Raw genomic sequence first — 22,559 nt, 5'->3', positions numbered from 1 at the left:
TTGTGGTCCGCCCGCCTTGGCCTCCCAAAGTGCTGGAATTACAGGCATGAGCCACCATGCCCAGCCTACTCTTATGTAATTTTTAAACACTTAGGTAATAGGTCTGTTAATTTATCCCATGTTAAAACAGTTTTCTGTTTTCCATCTTGGTTTTTGATTTTGTTTTTAATGCAGTAAGACTCTCCTCACAGAACCAGGGGCAATCCTTTTACTATTGACATTATATTGATAGTTGTAGTCATTGTTCTTATTTTTCTTAAAATATGTTTTTCTGCAGCTGTTGCAGGAACCTGGGCAGTTCTCTGGACTCTGCTAGTAATTTCCTCAACTTCCAACATTCCTTACCCACAGACGGAGTGATGTTCTCACTCTTGGATACTTTGTTGGTTGTTTAAAGGAAAGGATTGGCATTATAACTCCTGCCCACATCTGCCTGGCTGGTTGTAAGCCTTTGCACTCATGCTTAGTACATGCTAGTACTCTGAGTATGTCTATCCAGTGTCATGGGGTGTATAGGATCAGAAATATTTTTGGTCTAGGAGCTGGGAAAAATAGAAGTAGTATATGCATGATAATAGTCATCAATAAAATGGTCAATCTTTTCAAAGTTTTTCAAACCTCAAGCAGTTTACTCTTTAGAATTATATCTCTAGCCAGGCATAGTGTGACACATGTCTGTTAGTCCCAGCTACTCTGGAGCCTGAGGCAGGAGGGTTTTTTGGCCCCAGGAATTCAAGTCCAGCCTGGGCAACATAGTGAGACCCTGTCTCTTAAAGAAAATTGTATTCCTTAATCATTCTGAAGAGCTAGTGTATCAATGCTTGGTCAAAAAGAAATGGTGTCCTCTTGGGGATTTTCTCCTTTTCAGTAATATGGGAACACGGTCTATCAGTCCTTCGTTTGAACCATACACTTTCCCTTGGCTTTCACGGAGACATTGCAGACTTGCTAATTAGAGGGAATGTCTTATTTGCAGGATGGCCAAGAAATATTTCTTGTTATTGATTGTACTTGAAAACTCTATGCAGTAGTTAATTAGTTTAGTTGTATACTTGTAAAATCTATTTAGGTGTCTTAGGATGTTATACTAAAAACACTTACTTACATTATTTCAGAATATGGTCTTCGATTGGCAAGCCATATATTTGTTAAGGAAATTTCACAAGATAGTTTGGCAGCAAGAGATGGCAATATTCAAGAAGGTGATGTTGTATTGAAGGTATAATCATATTCTTACTTTTTAATGAACTGAAATAGAAAACAAGTTCTAGAGTTACCATGTAGTCTGTGCTCTTGTTTGAAGCAGTTTTGCCAAAGAGAATTAAAAATCAGTGTTTGGGGGAGAGGGATATAAATTCCCTTTATGCATTATTACATGTCGACACCAATGCTTTAGGTATCACAGGGTCATCCTGAGATAATTATTCACAGGCCGGTACTACTTTGTAGATAGATATGTCTGTTCTTACACATTAAAAAGTTCTGATAATTGCTTCCAGATACTATTGAAATGCTTATTTATTCGTTTGTTTATAAGTAATAGAAAGTGACAGCCTCAAAGAAGGAGTTAGGGGATGCTACTATGGGTTTTTCTGACAGCAACAGTACAGTAAAGATTTTATCATCTCAAGAAGGTGGAATACTTTGACAGTTTGGAAAAGTGTAGAGAGAATATTTTGGTTTTCATAGCAAGGAGTGGTTTGGATATTTCTGTTTATAACAAACTAAGTTAACATTTGTATTTTATTATTTACTTTCAAGCTGTAATTTATTTTCTGTTGCAGATAAATGGTACTGTGACAGAAAATATGTCATTGACAGATGCAAAGACATTGATAGAAAGGTCTAAAGGCAAATTAAAAATGGTAGTTCAAAGAGATGAACGGGCTACGCTATTGAATGTCCCTGATCTTTCTGACAGCATCCACTCTGCTAATGCCTCTGAGAGAGACGGTGAGTGTGATTCTGTTTGAACGTTCCCTCTAAGTGACCTATTTTCTTAAAATACTAGGGAGATTGAACATCTTTGAATGAAATGATAATTTTCTACCAGCCAAACACCTTCAAAATCTATAAGTTTTATATACATTTTTTCCTGTAGACAACTCACCACTATTGATATGATTGCTGGCAGGTGAAATTAATGCATAAATCTTCCATTTTATATATAATTTTACTTACTAGCTTATCTTCATTATTACTGGAGTACCTTATACTTGACTGTAATTATTTTTGTGGGAAAATAAGTAGCACCCTTTTATTAACAGACATTTCAGAAATTCAGTCACTGGCATCAGATCATTCTGGTCGATCACACGATAGGCCTCCCCGCCGCAGCCGGTCACGATCTCCTGACCAGCGGTCAGAGCCTTCTGATCATTCCAGGCACTCGCCGCAGCAGCCAAGCAATGGCAGGTAAGACACCCTATTTTTTTAAAAAATACAGGGGTTTTGTTTGCTTGATACCAGTATCTGAAATTGCTTACAAATAAAATTAAAAGATGTATTTCTTTTGATTATTCAAGATTAGATCTGTTTTTCTCAACTTAGACATTTTTTAAATCTAAAATAACCGCAAACTTTCCCTTAAAGGGCCAGATAGTAAACATATTTCAATCATGCAGGCCATATAGTTCTTTTCACTGCTCAACTGCAAAAGCAACCATAGACAATGTGTAAATGAATGGGCATGACTATGTTCCCATAAAACTTTATTTACAAAAGCGGTTGATCCGCAGCTGCAGTTTGTCATACTATTGCATTAGAAGATGCTAGCAAGCTTCAGAAATCTACTGCTTGGGAAAGTTAACTACAGAAGTCCTTTAATAAACACATTAACCTGGACTTTGTTTTCTCTTTTAAAAATACACTAGTGTTGGCCGGGCGCGGTGGCTCACACCTGTAATCCCAGCACTTTGGGAGGCCGAGGCAGGCGGATCACTTGAGGCCAGGAGATCAAGACCAGCCTGGCCGACATGGTGAAACTCTGTCTCTACTAAAAATACAAAAATTAGCCAGGTAGTGTTGGCACATGCTTGTAATCCCAGCTACTCGGGAGGCTGAGACATGAGAATTGCTTGAACCTGGGAAGCGGAGGTTGCAGTGAGCCGAGATCGCACCACTGCACTCCAGCCTTGGTGACAGAGCGGAACTCTTTCTCAAAAACAAAACAAAACACTAGTATTTATGCCAAAGGTTCTGGTATACTGGTAGTATATGACCTACCTGAGTTTATCTTTCTTTAGAGTCACACGTACATTTGAGAATCTGAAGAAAATTATGATCCTTCTCTCCAGAAAAATGTGCATGTGCACATACACGCAGCAATTGCATACAATTTCTGGAGACTCCCAAGGCTCTATAGGCCACCACCTGACCCATGGTTAACTGCAGTCCACATGAAGATCACTTGAAACATGAGTCCAGGGCTGAAGAGACAGTTTAGAAGAAAAGGGAACCCTTATACGTTGTTGATGAGAATGTAATTGATACGGCCATTCTGGAAAACAGTATGGAGGTTCCTCAAAAAATTAAAACCAGAACGAACTAGCACATGATCCAGCAATTCCACTTCTGGGTACATATCCAAAGGAAATGAAATCACTGTCTCGAAGAGATATCTGCACTCTCATGTTTGTTGCAGCATTATTCACAATAGCCAAGGTATGGAGTCAACCTGAATGTCGAACACATGAATGGATAAAGAAAATGTTCACACACACAATGAAATGTGATTTAGCCTTTAAAAAGAAGGAAATCCTGCCATTTGGAACAACATGGATGAACCTGGAGGGCATTGTGCTAAGTGAAATAAACCAGACACAGAAAGACAAACACTGCATGACCTCACTTACTGTGGAACCTAAGCAAGTTGAACTCATAGAAACAGACAGTAGAATGGTGGTTACCAGGGGTTAGGGGTGGGGAGGAATGGGGAGATGTTTGTTAAAGGGTACACAGTTTCAATTATAAGATGAGTAAGTTCTGGAGACCTAATTTACAGTGTAGTGACAAGAGTTAATAACGTATACTTGAAATTTGCTAAGAGAGTAGATCTTAAGGCATTCTTTTGACACACACTAAGAAAAGTAACTATGAGGTATGGATATGTTAATTAACTTGGTCTCGGTCATCATTTGAATATGTATATCAAAACATCACTGTTGTACACCTTTAATAGATACAATGTTTATTTGTCAATTGGACCTCAGTAAAGCTGGAAAGAAAAAGTAAATTTGGGTCTAGATCTGAAGAGATGATTTAGGATTAGAGATGTTGAATTGAGACTTAACTTGCATAGAGGTGTTAGCTGAAGCCATAGAAGTCACTAAAATTGCTAAGAGAAACAGTTTGGAAAGAAGGCAGAGAACTGGATAACAGGGAGCACGTTCTTTTAGGAAGGTGAAGAGGCGAGGGAGAAGTAAGAAAAGGGAGGCGTACCTAGCCAGGAGAGAGCTTTTTTAAAGTTTGTAAAAAACCGCAGTGACAGTGGTAGTTAAAACTGTAAAGTGTTTCGCATTCTACTAAAATGGGAACTAGTAAGAGAAGAGGATAACTTGTAAGAGCTATGAATGTGGTTGCTAATTCGTATCTACTGTAGTTTTTATGTATTTGTGAAGCTGATTATTTCTAAATTTCAAACCTAGATTTATAAATTATGAGAACCCTGGTGTTTATTTTAAGGATGTAATGATTTTTTAAAGGAATATTATGGCATGTTACGTGTAAAGTTGGCTTATCTTATAACTGATGATGATTTTTAATTGCTGCAGTTAATATATTCTAAAAATCTTCCTGGCACAGCATAGATTGTTATCAGGAAAAGGATTACTGCCGCAACACATACACACACACAGTGATATAGCACCTTTGATGATTCACGGGAGCAGCTGTAATTTTAACATCTATTTCTCAGCTAGAAACCATGCTTAAGTAATTTGGACATGATTTCCCCTTTTAAATAACGCAATCTGAATCAAAATCTCAAATGTTGGGCCATTAGTTTAGATTGTAAAAAATTTTCAATCTTAGAAAATTCTTTTTGATGTCCACTTTCTTCATTTAGAGTTCCTCAGCACTTAGAATCTGTAACCTTAACTTAAAAGTGGAGGGTTTTTCCCCCCTAAAATTACTATTTTTGTGTTATATTGTGATTTTTTTTTCTCCTAGGTATCTTAAGTATTTTCATGGGTAGCACCAGTAATATGGGAGCTTTTAAAAATACAAACTTCTGGGGCTTGCTTTCAGCTGATCTGAGACGGAAGCAGGCAATACATTTGACCCTCGAACAACCTGGGGTTTAGGGGGGACCAAAACCTCCCTCTCACCCCCGACACACAGTCAAAAATCCACCTGTGATTTTTAACTTCCCAAAAACTTAACTATTAATAGCCTACTGTTGAGTGGAAGCTTACTGATAACATAAACAGTACAAAGTTTGTAGGTTAGATGTATTATATTCAGTATTCTTAAAGTAAGCTAAAGAAAAGAAAGTGTTAATAAGAAAATCATAAGAGAAAATACATTTACTGTTCATTAGGTGAAAGTGGATCATCATAAAGGTCTTCATCCTCGTTTTCCTTCACTGCTCATTTCCTTCATCCTTGTTTTCACATTTAGTCGTCTGAGGAATAGGAGAGGTTGGTCTTTCTGTATCATGGGTGGCAGAGGTGGAAGAAAATTCGAGTGTAAGTGGACCCACACAGTTAAATCTCATGCTCTTCAAGGGTCAACTGTATTTTTTTGTTTTTAAGCTCCTGGCATCTTTCTCTTATGTGCACTGCTAGATGTGGGAACTAATGGTTAGAAAGTATAGTGTATAAAAGAAAAGGTAACTTCAACTACAGAAGGAAAAATCTCTTCAGGTTCTTTTCATATTTTTTGTGGTGAGAATTTAATTCCTGAAAATTTAGTAATCTGCCTACAGACAAGATATAAATAGTACCAGTTGCTTAAAGGTTTCATTTCCACCCCAAAGTTGAATCTTCAAATCCTGTAACTGTGGAGTTTTAATTTAGAGCATTCCCTGCATTTTGAGAAACAACTTAGATACATTATAAGAGTAAAATGCTAGTGTAAAAAAACACTAAAGGACTTCCATATATAGTCTTTTGTTTTTTTTATTTAATTTTGGCTGTATAAGTGTCTTTTTGTTTTACAAATTGTATGTAAATTATCTTTAAAGAAGTGATAAAAAAATGACCTGGTCTCTGTGAGAAAGGTTTCACTTGAGTGTAAAAGGAAGTCTGTCTTGGCAAACATCAGCCCTGCCCTGTTCTCTTCCTAGATTTCTGAATACTTTTGTATATTTTTAGGATGTGCGATTATCTGCTGAGAATAATAACCTCTTCATCTTCATTTTGTGAGAAGTGATAGAATATAGTGAATTCTTAGGGCTTTGGAGCCGGACTTCCTGGGTTCATGTCCCAGCCTGCCTTTGGTTACTTGCATAACCTTGAAACCTCTGTGTTTCAGCATCCCCATATGCAGTGAAGCAGGCAGGTCATACGTTACAGAATGGTGAGAAATTAGTTATTACAATACCTGGCACATGTGTTCGCTACTGTAATTATTATGGTGATTCATAGTAGTAATAATAGTATCATAAGTTAGAATTTCCAAATGTGCTTTCTTATCTGCTTGTATTTAACCATTTTCTGAGATTTCCTCATTCTATATAGTTAAGCAAACTAAAATTGAGAGGTTGCAATAAAGTCCAGGGTTATGTTGTTGACCTGGGATTGGGGCCAGGATTAAAACTGTTGGCTCTTTGACCCAAATCTTTGACCTTACTGGTGTAGAGAAAGAAATTTCATAGCTTAATTACTACTTAATCTTCAGGAAACTAAAATCTACCAGCGTTCCATTGTTGTCATGACCTACTTATGTTCCTCTGTGTGATATTCTTTTCTTAGAGAGCAAACATATGGAGAGAATTCTGAGAAAAACACACAAGCTTGTTCTTCATTATAATTAGATGAACAAAGTATCCTCACTGTTGTCTAGAACTGGAGTTGGCAGACTGCACTGTGTGGGCTAAATCCAGCCTCCTCCTTTTGTAAAGTTTTATTGGAAACCCATTCCACAATGGCATAATCAAGAAGTTATAAGAGAGACTATATGGCCAAGGGAGTCAATTACAGAAAAAGTTTCCAAATGCTTTGTCTGGAATGTTAAAATAGTTTTGTTTTTAAATTCAAAAAATACATATACATAGGGAAAATAATTACAGTGGTTTTCTTATAACTTGATGCTTGTTGCTGGGCTTGTTTGCTTTGTTTTGTATTTCACTTAGTATTGTTGCAGAGCCCAGTCTGGGCCAAGACTTGGGCTGTAGGAGCTGGGAATACTGAGAGAGCCCACAGTTGATGGTGACACTTTGCTTCTTGGTGATTACTGAGTGGGTATCATTGAAAAGAGATTTCACTGATCTTCCTGTAGTCCCTGCATAAGTAGAGAGTATTTGATTTGCAGGGTATGATCTAGGCCTCTGCTTGGTTAGATTGTATTCTTCCTCATATTTACAGCTATTTTAACAGACCCATTTTATGTTTCCCTCTAACATTGTATGTTAGAGGGAACAACAGGTGTTTACCTTTTTTATTCTATAAATTTTTATAAAAGTGAGCATGATTAGTCATAAGCAGGTACAATATTGAAAAAATTCTATTACAGTAAAAGTTCAGACTAACAGGATGAAATTGAAATGTGGGAAATTTGGATTGTCAAGATTTACATTTGGCATTCTACCCATTTACATTTGTTACACTCATTCCCTGAAACCAACAGAGTTCATCTAAGGCCTAAACTGTTTTCTAAAGTGTTTGGGGAATGTGTTTTCACAAATAGAAAAACAGTCCAGTTTATATTTAGCAAATCCATTTTACGAAAATGGTTAGTTCTGAGAAACTTAAAAGCAGTGTTTTCAGAAGATTGAAACTTTGTAACAGTTATTTAATCTCTTCATTCATTGTTCCTCCTGAGAAATGCCTCTACTGAATTCTAAAGTAAAAGGTGTGTCAGCATTGATACAGCTTATGATACAGCAAATACATGACAGTAAAATTGAATTTTCTGAATCAGAAATTTTTAGCCTAAATTCACGTTTGGCCAAGTTAAGATCATATATTTGGGATCAAAACCTCTTATCTATACAATCCACTCCATATTAGGAGTTTTCCAAGAGTGCTGAGTAAGTCCAAATAAACATGCAGGTAGAGCATATAATGTGCAGTCACGTGTCACTTGATGGGGATACCTTCTGAGAAATGCATCCTTGTGTGAACATCATAGAGTGTACTTACACAAACCTAGGTGGTAGAGCCTGCCACACACCCAGGCTATATGGTGTAGCCTATTGCTCCTAGGCTACAAACCTGTACAGCAGGTTACTGTACCAAATACTGTAGGCAGTTGAAACAGCAGTTAGCATTTGTGTATCTTAAACGTAGGAAAGGACAGTACAACTACAGTATTTTAATCTTCAGGGACCACTATTGTCTGTGGGGTCCATTGTTGATTAAAATATCCTTATGTGGTCTTAGCTTTTAAATTAAAGATCTAGTTTTTTATTTACACACCTTTTCCTCTACCTTCCATAATTGTTTTCGTCAGCATTTGAGAACTATAAATATTATTTCATCTTACTGTATATAGTTTCTGTCACATATTGCTTAATTTTCTCTGAAACTTACATACAGGTTGAGCGTAGGTAATCTGAAAGTGCAAAATCCAAAATGCTCCAAAATCCAAAACTTGAGTGCCAACATGACGCTCAAGGGAAATGCATTTCAGACTTTGCATTTTCAGATTAGGGCTGCTCAATGGGTAACCAGTATGATGCACATATTCCAAAATCCGAAATCCAAAACAGTTCTGGTCCCAAGCATTTTAGGCAAGGGATGCTTAACCTGTGCAACTTTGCCAATAGGCTAAAAATTATTGTTGAAACATCCTAATATTGATGAGCATTTTTTTTTCTATTTCAAATGTGGAGAGGTAACGATCTTCTGACTAGTGAATTTCTTTTTAATTTTTTTGACTTTTAGGTTTAGGGGTACATATGCAGGTTTGTTACGTAGGTAAACATGTGTCATCGTGTTTTGTACGTACTATTTCATCACCCAGATGTTAAACCCAGTATCCAATAGTTTTCTCTTGTTCTCCCTCCTCCTACCCTCCCCCCTCAAGTAGACCCCAGTGCCTGTTGTTTTCTTTGTGTTCGTAAGTTCTTACCATTTAGCTCCCACTTACAAGTGAGAACATGCAGTGTTTGGTTTTCTGTTCCTGCATTCGTTTGCTAAGGGTAATGGCCTCCAGCTCCACTCATGTTCTGGCAAAAGACATGTTCTTTTTTATGGCTGCATAGTATTCCATGGTGTATATGTACCACATTTTCTTTATCCACTCTGTCATTGGTGGGCATATAGGTTGACTCCATGTCTTTGCTATTGTGAATAGTGCTGCAGTGAACATTTGTTTGCATATGTCTTTATGGTAGAATGATTTATATTCCTTGGGTATATACCCTGATTGGTGAGTTTCAGATTTTATTTACTGATCATTGGTGTTAGTCTTTTGTCTAAATAAATTTCATAACTCCAATTTGATAAGTGCTTTATTCTAAACAAGAATTACATATATTGTTGGTAGTGAACATGGTGTTGGTAGTACTACGTGTTCTTTTTTAGGCTCACCATGAGGTCCTTTACCTTTGTTTTTTTTTTTTTTTTCTGTTTCCCTTTCATCTGAGAAAGATAGAAAGGGTGCCAGTTAGAAAGATATGATTCATTAAGTATTTCAATGGTTAATCAGCGAGTCGAATCAGTGACTTCTTTCCCATGGCTCCTGTACCTTACACCGTGACCAATGTGCATAGTTCTGAGTGATCAACAGGCGGCACCACAGTGAATGTTCCTTCTGTAGTGAAGGTTGAAAGATTTTACCAGTAATGTGGATGTTATCCTGCTCATTCGTCCTTTGCCAAATACTTACTAATGTCACATATATGTTATCAGTGTATGGCGATAAATATCCTGAGCAATCTTTTTTTTTTTTTTTTTTTTTTTTTTGACACAGAGTCTTGCTCTGTCTCCCAGGCTGGAGTGCAGTGGCACGATCTCGGCTCACTGCGAGCTCCGCCTCCCAGGTTCACGCTATTCTCCTGCCTCAGCCTCCTGAGTAGCTGGGACTACAGGCACCCGCCACCACGCCTGGCTAATTTTTTGTGTTTTTTAGTAGAGACGGGGTTTCACTGTGTTAGCCAGGATGGTCTCGATCTCCTGACCTCGTGATCTGCCTGCCTCAGCCTCCCAAAGTGCTGGGATTACAGGCGTGAGCCACTGCGCCTGGCCATATCCTGAGCAATCTTAGGCAAGATCCCTGCTATCATTTGGATGTAAGCTCTATATCCAAAGCAAATACATAAATTTGAAAATACAAAAAGTAAATTTTCGTTAGTGGTTAAATGCTATAAAGAGAATCAGGGTAGTGTAATAGTGAAGCAGGAGGGGACAATATTAAATAACAGGCTCAGGGAAGAAAGCTTCTCTGAGGTCACATCATTTTGAACTGGGTAAGAAAGACCCTGGCAGGTGAAGGTCATTCTGGAATAAGGCAAAGCGTGTACTGCTCCTGAGATGGAAACTCGACCTACTGGAAGGGCAGCAATATAGCCCATGTGGCTACATCATAAGAGCAAGGGAGAAAGTGATTTGGAGATCCAAGAAGTGAATTTTTTCTGTTTTAAAAAATTTGGTTAGAACATGAAAGTTTTTTTAATGTTGTTTATTACTTGAAATGTTATTAAATGCTTTTTTGCTAATATGTTTTATCTAACATTTCAAAGTGAGTGGAATATCGATGACATCCTGAACTTTTGTGAACGAACTGTTATTTTCAGTTTGAGGGGATTTCAGGTTACTTCATTGAAATTCCAATGTGAGGTTTTATTTTCAGTGTGCTTTTGTGAGGGGCCAAAAGAGGGAAGATTTTAGTTGATTAAGTTTCTCTAGTTAATGGAAACCCAAGTATAGTCATGGGGTATTCAGTGATTGCTGTTAGATTTTAACCCTTAAGAGGAGATCATGGATCAAATAGCAGAAAGGCAGGCTTCAATATTTATCATATATCCCGTTTAAAAAGTGAAAGTAGGCCAGGCACGATGGCTTACACCTGTAATCTCAGCACTTTGGGAGGCCAAGGTGGGCAAGATCACTTGAGGTCAGGAGTTCAAGACCAGCCTGGCCAACATGGTGAAACCCAGTCTCTACTAAAAATACCAAAATTAGCTAGGCGTGGTGGCGTGTGCCTATAATCCCAGCTACTCGGAAGGCTGAGGCAGGAGAATCGCTTGAACCTGGGAGGCAGAGGTTGCAGTGAGCCGAGATCATGCCACTGCACTCCAGCCTGGGTGACAGAGCGAGACTCCGTCTGGGGGGAAAAAAAAAAAAAAGTGTATTTAGCCGGGCGTGGTGGTGCACATCTGTGATCCTGGGTACTCAGGAGGCTGAGGTGGAAGGATCGCCTGCTTGAGCCCAAGAGGTTGAGGCTGCAGTGTGCCATGATCACGCCACTGAACTGTAGCCTGGGCAATAGAACAAGGCCCTGTCTCAAAAATAAGTAGTACAAAAATAAAAAGTAAAAGTATAAAGTTTATTTACTCCATCAGCTGAGATTTGTTTTCTTCTACAAGTACAATATTTAAAAATGGCAAATTTAAAAACAAACTGCTCCACTTGTCTAAAATAGTAAATATACAAAAAAACTTATTTGCAGATTTTTTAAATGTGAGACAATTTTCTGTTTTCTCTGAGAGAATCCTAATAAGATTTGTGACATTGGTCTCCCACTATAAAATCTACCAAATAAACTGCACAAAGTGCTATGTTAGTCATAAGTATTAGTCAAAGTACAGAATAATCATTATACCACCAATGAAGGTGTAACAACACAATTCTTTAAGTGAGACAAAAGTCCTCTTGGGCTTTCCTCAGTTGTTTCTTACTAAAAGTTGTCCATATCCATGAAAATTACTTTTGAACCACAGACCTGTTTTTCTTCTAATGCGGATGGACTAGATTAATAGATGAATGTTTAAGATGAGAAGCACTTGTACAGAAGAATAAGCTCCACAAACACATACATCTAAATTATTGCCTAAAAACAATATCACAGTGAAATAGACTCAGATTTTTTCAGAAGCATGCTCATGAACACATGTATGTTTTAGAAAGCAGATTACATGTAAAGGACAGATTTACATTGTGAGAAATTAGCTTACAAAATGACAAAGTGGAATTAAGGTAATTATTTTCTTGCCTTCTCAGCATACTTCCTGGGCAACTTTTTTACCTTTTGTTCCCAAGTACCAGCCCTGTATCTCTTGCTTTCTCATCCCCAGAATTCTTTGGGTACCAGTGCAGAGAGAGACCATTTTTTAATCGTTGTGAAGGGGGAACTTCAATGTGTATATATTTGTTTCCATATAAAATCAGAGGATTAGCAGTGATTGCAACATTCTAAGTATGAAACTGGAGTGTGCCTTCACTTTTCTGTCTTTTTGCAATAGAGCCTTCCAGGCTGAAATTTTCCTGTCAGTGGAAAAAACTTTGGAATACAGTTAACTTAAATTCTTAGCATATTTTTATTGTTAATTGTGGTTGAGATAATCCAATGCCTTTTAAAGGGATTAGTAGCTAGCTTTTGTTTTCAACCTAAACTGTGGTGTTCTTGCCTACCTTATGCAATTAATGAACTTGTGAAAAGTATGTATAAATCCGTTTTTGTAGTATAAGTCTTTAATTTGTAATGGGGAGTTGGCTTTATAAAAGGATATTCTACTAGAGTGAATGTTCAGCGCTTCATTTATTTCCTGTATTAAGGTTATTTTTAAAATAAGGCACATCAAGTTGATTGGAAAGGTGTTCATAGAGCTAGAAGTAAGAGGGAAAGGGCTATGAAATGGCGACCAGGCATATCTTATCAATCAGGAGACAGAAAGCACAGTTTCCATGAACAGAGAAAGTTGAATGTAAAGAAATTAAACATAACAGGAGTAATGAGGGATTGACTGGTAAGAACTAAAGAGAGCTCTGAAGATTAAGAACCACGGATAGGGCTGGGCGCAGTGGCTCACACCTGTAATCTCAGCACTTTGGGAGGCCGAGGCGAGCAGATTGCCTGAACTCAGGAGTTCAAGACCAGCCTGGGCAACACGGTGAAACCCTGTCTCTACTAAAATACAAAAAATTAGGCCGGGCGTGGTGGCTCACGCCTGTAATCCCAGCACTTTGGGAGGCTGAGGCGGGCTGATCATGAGGGCAGATCAAGACCATCCTGGCTAACACGGTGAAACCCTGTCTCTACTAAAAATACAAAAAATTAGCTGGGCGTGGTGGCACGTGCCTGTAGTCCAGCTGCTCGGGAGACTGAGGCAGGAGAATGGCGTGAACCCGGGAGGCGGAGCTTGCAGTGAGCCAGGATCGCACCACTGCACTTCCAGCCTGGGTGACAGACCGAGACTCAGTCTCAAAAAAAAAAAAAAATTAGCCGGACACAGTGGCATGCTCCTGTAATCCCAGCTACTCAGGAGGCTGAGACAGGAGAATAACTTGAACCCAGGAGGCGGAGGTTGCAGTGAGCCGAGATTGCGTCACTGCACTCCAGCCTGGGTGACAGAGCGTGACTCCGTCTCAAAAACAAAGCACAAAAGAACCACAGATAGAAGGAGCAGCTACTCTCCTTGGTGCTGAGATAGAGTGCCAAAGGAAGAGGCTCCCACTCACTCATCCTCAGGGCTGAGATCTGGCCTTCTTGGAAAGGGAACAACGGTGCTCACTGAGTGGCCGAGAATTTGCTGTGGTATGTCACCAGACGAACTTGCATGGTATTTGTACTCCCATGTGCTGGGGAGGTATCTCATGGGAGACTTCACACAACAGAACCGTTTGAGAGAGTCTCTGGAGCAGGCTGCTGGCCACCGAGTACTTTAGGATGCTGGGCACTGCAGGAGCATGCTGAGGGGATGCACCTTCTCTCCTACAGCGTCTCCCCAGGACCCTGTACTGACCATGCTGCATGCCCTCTGCCTCTACTAAATGGCTCCAAACAGCTGCAATTTCACAACCAAAGTTTTTTACTTGAAACAGCATGTTACTCCTTGCTAATCTAATTGAGTGTGTATTAATCGGCTACACTGGTCACACATTTGATTGGGTAAGACCTAAAGTAGGCTCTGCTTAACAGTGAGTCCGTTCATGTGACCTATAAAATCTCTCTCAGAGACTCCTTTCCAGTCCATCTTTGTCAGCTGTCTTGTCTAGAGCTTTCAACTAGCTCATAGCCTCCAGATAACAAGGTCATTACCTTTAGATTAATACGTGCAAGTTAATACAAAAAAAAAAAAACAACAGAAACTCGTCTTACCCTTCTGGGGAAAAGCAAAAGTGCCCATAAGAGGATCTTGAGGTACCTTAAAATGCCCAAAGTTTCCTTCTAGGCTACCAGGAGCTGGAATACGTAAACATGAACCTGACTCCGAACACATAATTTTTATAGAAAGCTTTCCTCATAATAGCAAACGCGCGCGCGCACACACGCGCACACACACACACACACACACACACACACACATTTTTAAGCTTAAATATGGAGAGCCATTAGGATAGAATTATGTGAGGAAGGGCTGGGCATGGTGGCTTGCACCTGTAATCCAGCACTTTTGGAAGCCGAAGTAGGAGGATAACTTGAACCCAGAAGTTCGAGACTCGCCTGGGCAACATAGCGAAACCCCATCTCTACAACAAGTAGAAAAAGTTAGCAGGGTATGGTGGCACGCATCTGTAGTCCAGCTACTCTTGCAGGCTGAGGTGGGAGGATTGCTTGAGCCTGGGAGGTTGAGGCTGCAGTGAAGTATGATTGTGCCACTGCACTCCAGCCAGGGCAACATTGAGACCCTGACTCAAAAAAAAAAAAAAAAAAAAAAAAAAAAGAATTAGGAAGGTTTGGGAAAAATGTGATTCATTATCACAACCTCACAATTTCTTTCAATAATTGCCACTGATTGTTGACTAATTTCATGTGTAAATTCAGATTTTATCTTGACTTCATAGTCACATTTGCTTGTGAAAGAACATTTTAATGTTTGGAAAAGTTGATTATTTTATTTTGTGCTGTAACTCTAGATCTGCATAGTCCAACACCATAGCCAGTAGCCACATGTCACTGTTCAACATTTGAAATGTGGCCAGTCCAAATCGAGGTGTATTGTTAGTGTGAAATGCACATTGGATTTTGAAAACACAGTATGCAAAAAATGTAAAATACCTCATTAATAACTTAGATGATGAAATACTACTTTAGATACATTGAGTAATAAAATTTATAAATTGATTTCGCCTTATTTTATTTAACATGGATTCTAGAAAATTTTTAATTACGTAAGCAGCTCATTTTATAATTCTCTTAAACAGTACTGTTCTAGATCTTTATGTATTATTGAAAAATGCCTCCATCTTTTGGTAGATAATGGAAATGCACTAACAAAAGCTAATATTTCAAATATTAATTGTATGAAAAATTGAATAGAATGGTGTGAGTCCCATTTATGTGAAATGTTGTTTTGGAAGGCTAATTGCATTTAATGTTATAATGATTGTATCACAGGACAAAAAGGTAATTAGCAATGGGGTATGCAAATTGGCCAAAGATAAAAATACTCCCAGAAGTTTTGTGTGATATATGGAGCAAGAGCCCTACATGTATAGCCAATGACGACCTATCGTTTATCATTGAGGAGAGCATTTGAGTTAAAATATTGTAAGTTAAAATACCAAGATGGTAATGTCTGTTAATCACATTTTAATTTTTAGAAGTTTTGATCAGTTACAAGAAAGAAGAAAATTAATTGGAATTCTTACCTTTTCTAAACAAATTCTGCTTTGTACAGAGCAATAGAAATCTGTAGAACTATTAAAATTTTGTGGGTAACTCATTCTCTTTAAAAATACTCATTTTAACTTATTTTTTCACTTTTCTCTTTTTAAAAATAATTTTGTATTTATAATATATTAATCATATTTTTTAATGCAAACAATGCAGGGATAATTTACTATTTTGCACTTCCCTTTTAATCTGAGGAGCACAGCACAATTTGGGGATAGAGCTTAATTTTGTTGATTTATACTTAGCTAATTGTGATATTTTATTACACAAGTAATGGCTAAAAATTTTGATCTTTTACAATTTATTGTATTTATTTATTTATTTATTGAGACAAAGTCTCGCTGTCTTGCCCAGGCTGGAGTGCAGTGGCGCAATATCGGCTCACTGCAACCTCTGCCTCCCAGGTTTAAGCGATTCTTGTGCCTCAACCTCCGAAGTATCTGGGATTACAGGTGCGTGCCACCACACCCAACTAATTTTTGTTTTTTTAGTAGAGAGGGGTTTTCACCATGTTGGTCAGGCTGATCTCGAACTCCTGACCTCAGGTGATCCACCGACCTCGGCCTCCCAAAGTGCTGGGATTACAGGAGTGATGTTTCATGTTAAACATCATTTGCATATTTAACCGGCCAATCTTTTCCAATTTAAAAGTAGCTCATCCTTGTTTGAGCTAGAAAATATCTTGGCTTTTTTTTTTTTCCTAAAAGATTGTTCTACTTCAGTGCAGCTCATTAAGAATATACCAACTTAAAAGTAGAATACACCTCCACAGAATGGTTAAAAGAATACAAAAATAGAAACTATGCAAAGTACTTATTTTTTATTCCTTCAGGAAGACAACATAGAAAGAAACCTTTTCCTGAAAAGAGACTACTAATAATATACGTTAATAAAACCAAATTTTATGTTTAAAGTTAGTCTTTAAAAATAATTTTAAATATATTTTTTCAATCTTTATTATAATAAGTAAATTTTTGTAAAAGTTGAAATAGTAGAGATAACTGTAAAATTCCTCTTGGCTACTATTTTGGCTATTTTTCCCTCCAAGGTGAACCACTGTTGCTTATTTGGTATCTGTTGCTTGTCTGTACATGGGCATGTGCAAACATGTCTGTTTATATTTTAGAGAAAAGTTTTTAAATAGCTATATGGTATCCTGCTATATGTATTCTGTAATCTGTGTGTCTTATTTGGCATTTTGTTTTGAAGTTATTTTCTTTCTTTTTTTTTTTTTGAGACGGAGTCTCACTCTGTCGTCCAGGCTGGAGTGCAGTGGCTCCATCTGGGCTCACTGCAAGCTCCGCCTCCCGGGTTCACGCCATTCTCCTGCCTCAGCCTCCAGAGTAGCTGGGACTGCAGGCTCCCGCCACCACGCCCAGCCAATTTTTTTTGTATTTTTAGTAGAGACAGGGTTTCACCCGTAGCCAGGATGGTCTCGATCTTCTGACCTTGTGATCCGCCCGCCTCAGCCTCCCAAAGTGCTGGGATTACAGGCGTGAGCCACTGCGCCCAGCCGTTTTAAAGTTTTCATGTCTGTACATATCATTCTATTTCATTACACCTAATTTTAATAGTCTTTTACAAACAATGCATGCTTATTAGAACAAGTGAAATAGATCAAATCCACCAACTCCACTTCACCCCCAGTTCACCCCCAGTTCTCACTCTTCTTGAATTAAGCCATTCTCCAGACTCGTACTGACATTTGGTATCATATATAGGGTTTGGGTTTTTCTTTTAATAATTAAGAGATCAGGATTTGAATTATTACTCAGCTAAATTATTTCAGTTGAACAATACAAGGTGAACATCCAGTTTATTCTTTTGATAAGAAACTTTCCGTATTATGGACATCTTGTTTCTAGGTATTTGCCTGCGAAAACATGGCAGTAAGCACCTTCGTACCTGATTTCATGTACTGTGCTGGTGCATTTTATTTCTAAAGTCCTTAAAGAGTGTGTTTGTGTTGTTCAAAATTTTTAATGGCTAGTACCAGATTACTGATATAGCTGTGTTTCAAATGTAAGTCTTTATAATATCTTTTCCTGTGCAAGTAAAAGTTTTTAATCTTGTCAGATATTTTTATCTTGCCTTTATGGCTTCCGAATTTCTATCCTACTTGCAAAGGCTTCCCCCAGTCTAAAGTTTTAGAATGTTTAATGTTCTTGTTACTGGTGTTATTTTTTCCCTTTCATTTCCATCTGATTGTTGACGATATTGACAAAAGATTTTTTTATGTAATTAAAATTATCTTAATTCAGGAAATTTTTCAGTAGTCTTTAATATTCATTAAGTTTTTTTTTTTTTTTCAATATTTTGGGACCATTAGCTCGTGATTATACTACCTGGGTCTTCAAAATCAGAGTGAATAACAGTAGTGTTCACAGGTATCACTGTCCTGTTACTGAGTTTGGTGTAAATAGTGTAAATACATTCAGCATTTCACTATTTGATAGGATGTTTGCTCTTGGTTTTAGAAAATAGTTTCTTTCATAATTATATTGCTTATTTCAGTTTTTGTTTAGGAATGACTGCAAATTTTCTCATGCCAGTTTGATATTAACACTTTTTTCTGTAAATATTTGTGCATAATAATGAATTGTGTCAGTAAATTCCTAATGTCGAACTAATCTTGCACCCTTGAAATAACCCTGATGATAGTCTTCTAATACACTACTGTATTCTCCTAGCTAGTATTTTATTTATTTAGAATTTTTTCCTCCATTCATAATGAAAAATATATTATTTTCTCTCTTTGTACTCTTGTCATCAAGATTTGGATGTTAAAGGTTCTGGTAGCCTCAGATTGGAATGCTGATGACTAGAGTATTGATAATTGTCGACGATGAGTACATGGGGTTTTATGATACTGTTCTCTGTATGGCTGTATATGTTTGGAAATAAAGTTTTTTTTTAAGTGAATTAGAGAGCTTTTTATATTTTTCTGTGGTCCAGGATAATTAAACAAATTATTTTGTTTTTCCGAGGTTGGGAGAATGCAGCTGTAAAACCATATATACGTGATACTTTGTAAAATTATAGATCTTGATTTATCTTTTTATTCAAGATATATTTATTGGCTTCTTTTAAAATATATATTGTCTTGGTACACTTTATGATTTCTGTTTATCTGGGGAAATTATTAATGAACATTTAGTTTTATTTTGTTTCTTGCCACTAAAACTGATACTAGAATGAATGTTCTTATAAATGTTTTCTTGAGTACATTTGTATTTCTCTAGAATAAATATAGAAGTGGAATTATAGTGTATGACCTAGTTACATTTTTTGTTTTGATAATTTCCATTTTGCCTTCAAATAGTCATACACTTTTACCATCATTTTGTGAATATGTCTGTTTCTCCATATCTTTCCCTACCAGTGATGTTATCATGTGAAAGTTCTCATGGATGATAATATGATTTCTTTTTTTTGAGACAGAGTCTTGCTCTGTCACCAAGCTGGAGTGCAGTGGCACGATCTTGGCTCACTGCAACCTCTGCCTCCTGGGTTCAATTGATTCTCCTGCCTCAGCCTCACGAGTAGCTGGGACTATAGGCGCATGCCACCACGCCGGGCTAATTTTTGTATTTTTAGTAGAGACAGGGTTTCACCTTACTGGCCAGGATGGTCTTGATTTCTTGACCTCGTGATCCGCCTGCCTCTGCCTCCCAAAATGCTGGGAATACAGGCATGAGCTACTGTGCCCGGCCGATAATACAGTTTCTAATTAATTTGTATTTCCCTAGTTCCTAGTGAGGTTAAATGTGTTTGCATATTTATTACGTATTTGTACATCCTTTTTGCTGAAAAGCTTCTTTGTATTTTTGCATTTCTCTCTTGAGTTGTCTTGATTGATTTATAGTTCTTTTTTTCTTTTTCAAAGAGACGGAGTCTTGTTCTGTTGCCTAGGCTGGAGTGTAGTGGCTCTATCATAGCTCACTTCAGCCTCCAACTCCTCGGCTCAAGCAATTCTCCCACCTCAGCCACTTAAATAGCTAGGACTGTAGGAACAAGTGACAGTGCCTGGCTAAATTTTAAATTTTTTTTACAGAGTATGGAATTTGCTATGTTGCCCAGCTGGTCTCAAACTCCTGGGCTCAAGCAGTCCTCTTGCCTTGGCCTCCCAAAGTGCTGGAATTACAGACGTGAGCCATCATGCCTGTCTTTTCTTTTTTTAAGTACCAAATTCTTATATATGTTACTTAGGTCAGTACATAGTCAACATTTGTATTTAGTTAAACTGTATGAAATAGTTAACATCGAGCTGTTTGAACTAAAGAATTCCCATTTCATTTAGTTCAGCCCAGTATTATATATGTTTCCCAATTATTTGCACGTACTTTATTTTTATGTAATCACTTTTGTTGATATACTGTGGCTTCATTGAGTCTTACTTTAGAAGACTCCTGTTGATTATGTGAATGTTTAAACTCTTTTTTTAGGACTTGATTTCATCTGAAATCAGTTTATTTTTGTCATTGTTAAACATACGGATCTAATTTTTCTACATTTGTGGACAGTTGTCCCGACACCATTTATTAAATGTTATGTTCCTTCTCCAACAGTTTTGTTTGGAATGCTACTTTCATGATAAATTTTGCTATTATAGATATATTTCTTCATTTTCGATTTTATTACATGAATCTATTTGGTTTTTCTGTGGTAATGCTCTATTTTTAATTACTAGGTTTTTACAATATTTTGGTATCTGTTAGAGCAGGTTGTCATTGTTTTTGAAGTTGCATTGCCTCTTCTTATACTGTTCTCTTACAGATGCTTTCCAGAATCATTCTTATGCTCTTGATTTTTTATTTTAATGACACACAGTCTCCGGAGTAGAGATGAAGAGAGAATTTCTAAACCTGGGGCTGTCTCAACTCCTGTAAAGCATGCTGATGATCACACACCTAAAACAGTGGAAGAAGTTACAGTTGAAAGAAATGAGAAACAAACACCTTCTCTTCCAGGTAAGCATAACGAAACACTAAGTTCAAGAAACATTTGCAAGTAGAGTGAAGTAATTGTTAGGATTTACAGAAGATTTTAAAGATGCAATTATTATTCTTCTCATGTGTGAATTTGTCTGCATATGACTTCCAGCGTTTTCCTTATGGGTAGCAGGTTGGCACAAATCAGTTGCCTTTCATGAATGTTTTCCTTTACTTTCTAGATAGAAAATATTTATCATTAACAACTTCTTGCAATTAGTAAAGTTGTTTTCCAACACTGCTCCTTAAAGAGAAACATGAGATTGGCTTCAAAAATTTAAAAAGAAAAGTTATTTTGCTTTTTTGAAAGTGTTTTCATAAACATTTTATGGAGTATACCTTTATTTATTGTCTTTGGGTTTTTTTTTTTGAGACAGAGTCTCACTCTGTCACCCAGCTGGAGTGCAGTGGTGTGATTAGCTCGCTGTAACCTCAAAACTCCTGGGCTCCAGCTGTCTTTCCACCTGATCCTCCCTATTACAGGTGTGCACCACCGCACCTGGCTATTTTGGGTTTTCTGGGGTTTTTTTGTGGGTTTTCTTTGTTTTTTGTTGTTGTTTTGGAGAGATGGAATCTTGCTTTGTTGTCCAGGTTGGTCTCCAACTCCTGGCCTCAAACAGTCCTCCCACCTCAGCTTCCTAGTGTGTTGGGATTACAGGTGCAAGCCACTGTGTCTGACCCAAGCATCCTTTTAAAGCTGTCTGTGAAGACAAAACAGAATCAGCAAGGTGCTAAGATCGGTTGCCTGGGAGGCCTGGAGATTTTGTTTCTGATGTCTTTCACTTCCTTTTCTCAAATCATCTTTCTTGCTCTGCTTGCTGAGTGGCAGAAATATGGTTATTTAAAAACATTTTATCATAATGAGGAAAGGTAGCTACTTTGGCAGTCTTAACTGGGAAGTGTAGGAATTCTCTCTTCTCATATCTATTTTTTGTTATTCGTTCTTAAAGAATAGATTTTTCAAATTCTGATTGCTGGAACTATGGAAAACACAGGTGACTGTGTAACATACCTACTTGTTATAAAGACTTCAGAATTTATTACTATAAAATGTACTCTAATACATATGGTAGATATGTTCCTCATCAGGTTCTCTGAACTTATGAATCATATATTGCTTGGTTGCTTGCATTATTATTCCATGTTTTTCTAAAGTGAGTCCTACTCAATTTTTTTTTTCTTAGAACCAAAGCCTGTGTATGCCCAAGTTGGGCAACCAGATGTGGATTTACCTGTCAGTCCATCTGATGGTGTCCTACCTAATTCAACTCATGAAGATGGGATTCTTCGGTAATACAATTTTAAAGTTGTATTGTTTTCTTTGTTCATTATTAACATTATTCAGAGTAGGAATTTAATTGTAAACCATATTGCATATATTTTTTAAAATAGTACATACCACCTAATACTATGATTATTTTTATATTTAACATTCTGCTACTTATATATGATAGTGAGTTAGAAATTAGACAACAAAGGAACTTTTTGGATGCTTTCTTTCTCACCGCTGTCTCCTGCCTAGCTTTTAAATTAGGAATTAGAAAAAAAAAAAAATTCTATTCAGACATCAGAATTTCCACAGCTTTCCAATGGAGCATTAAAAAAAAAAAAAAATCAGTGTTTCTC

At 37.4% G+C, this 22,559-nt stretch overlaps 1 protein-coding gene across 30 annotated transcripts in view, besides 1 other annotated feature; it reads left to right on the top strand.

The window, feature by feature from the left end:
• TJP1 (tight junction protein 1) overlaps window positions 1–22,559 on the top strand; it is a 269,683-nt gene that overhangs the window by 205,496 nt on the left and 41,628 nt on the right. For all 30 annotated transcript variants that reach the window (XM_005254620.4, XM_047432984.1, XM_005254619.4 and 27 more), the window contains 5 exons: window positions 1,116–1,219; window positions 1,785–1,953; window positions 2,268–2,415; window positions 20,773–20,912; window positions 22,118–22,223. In XM_005254620.4, the coding sequence (XP_005254677.2) occupies window positions 1,116–1,219; window positions 1,785–1,953; window positions 2,268–2,415; window positions 20,773–20,912; window positions 22,118–22,223 (667 nt within the window). The remainder of the gene's footprint in view (window positions 1–1,115; window positions 1,220–1,784; window positions 1,954–2,267; window positions 2,416–20,772; window positions 20,913–22,117; window positions 22,224–22,559) is intronic.
• Window positions 1,885–3,084: an enhancer, noted in NCBI's record as "CDK7 strongly-dependent group 2 enhancer chr15:30052673-30053872 (GRCh37/hg19 assembly coordinates)". NCBI's record gives its function as "activates an origin of replication core promoter dependent on BRD2, BRD4, P300/CBP, MED14 and CDK7 cofactors, with strong dependence on CDK7, by STARR-seq in HCT116 cells {active_cell/tissue: HCT116}" and the evidence as "EXISTENCE:reporter gene assay evidence [ECO:0000049][PMID:35650434]".

The sequence above is a fragment of the Homo sapiens genome, chromosome 15 (genome assembly GCF_000001405.40).
Source record: "Homo sapiens chromosome 15, GRCh38.p14 Primary Assembly".
In the NCBI taxonomy this organism is placed as follows: Eukaryota; Metazoa; Chordata; class Mammalia; order Primates; family Hominidae; genus Homo; species Homo sapiens.
Note: the sequence above shows the minus strand (reverse complement) of the source record. Positions and strands in the feature narration are given on the sequence as shown.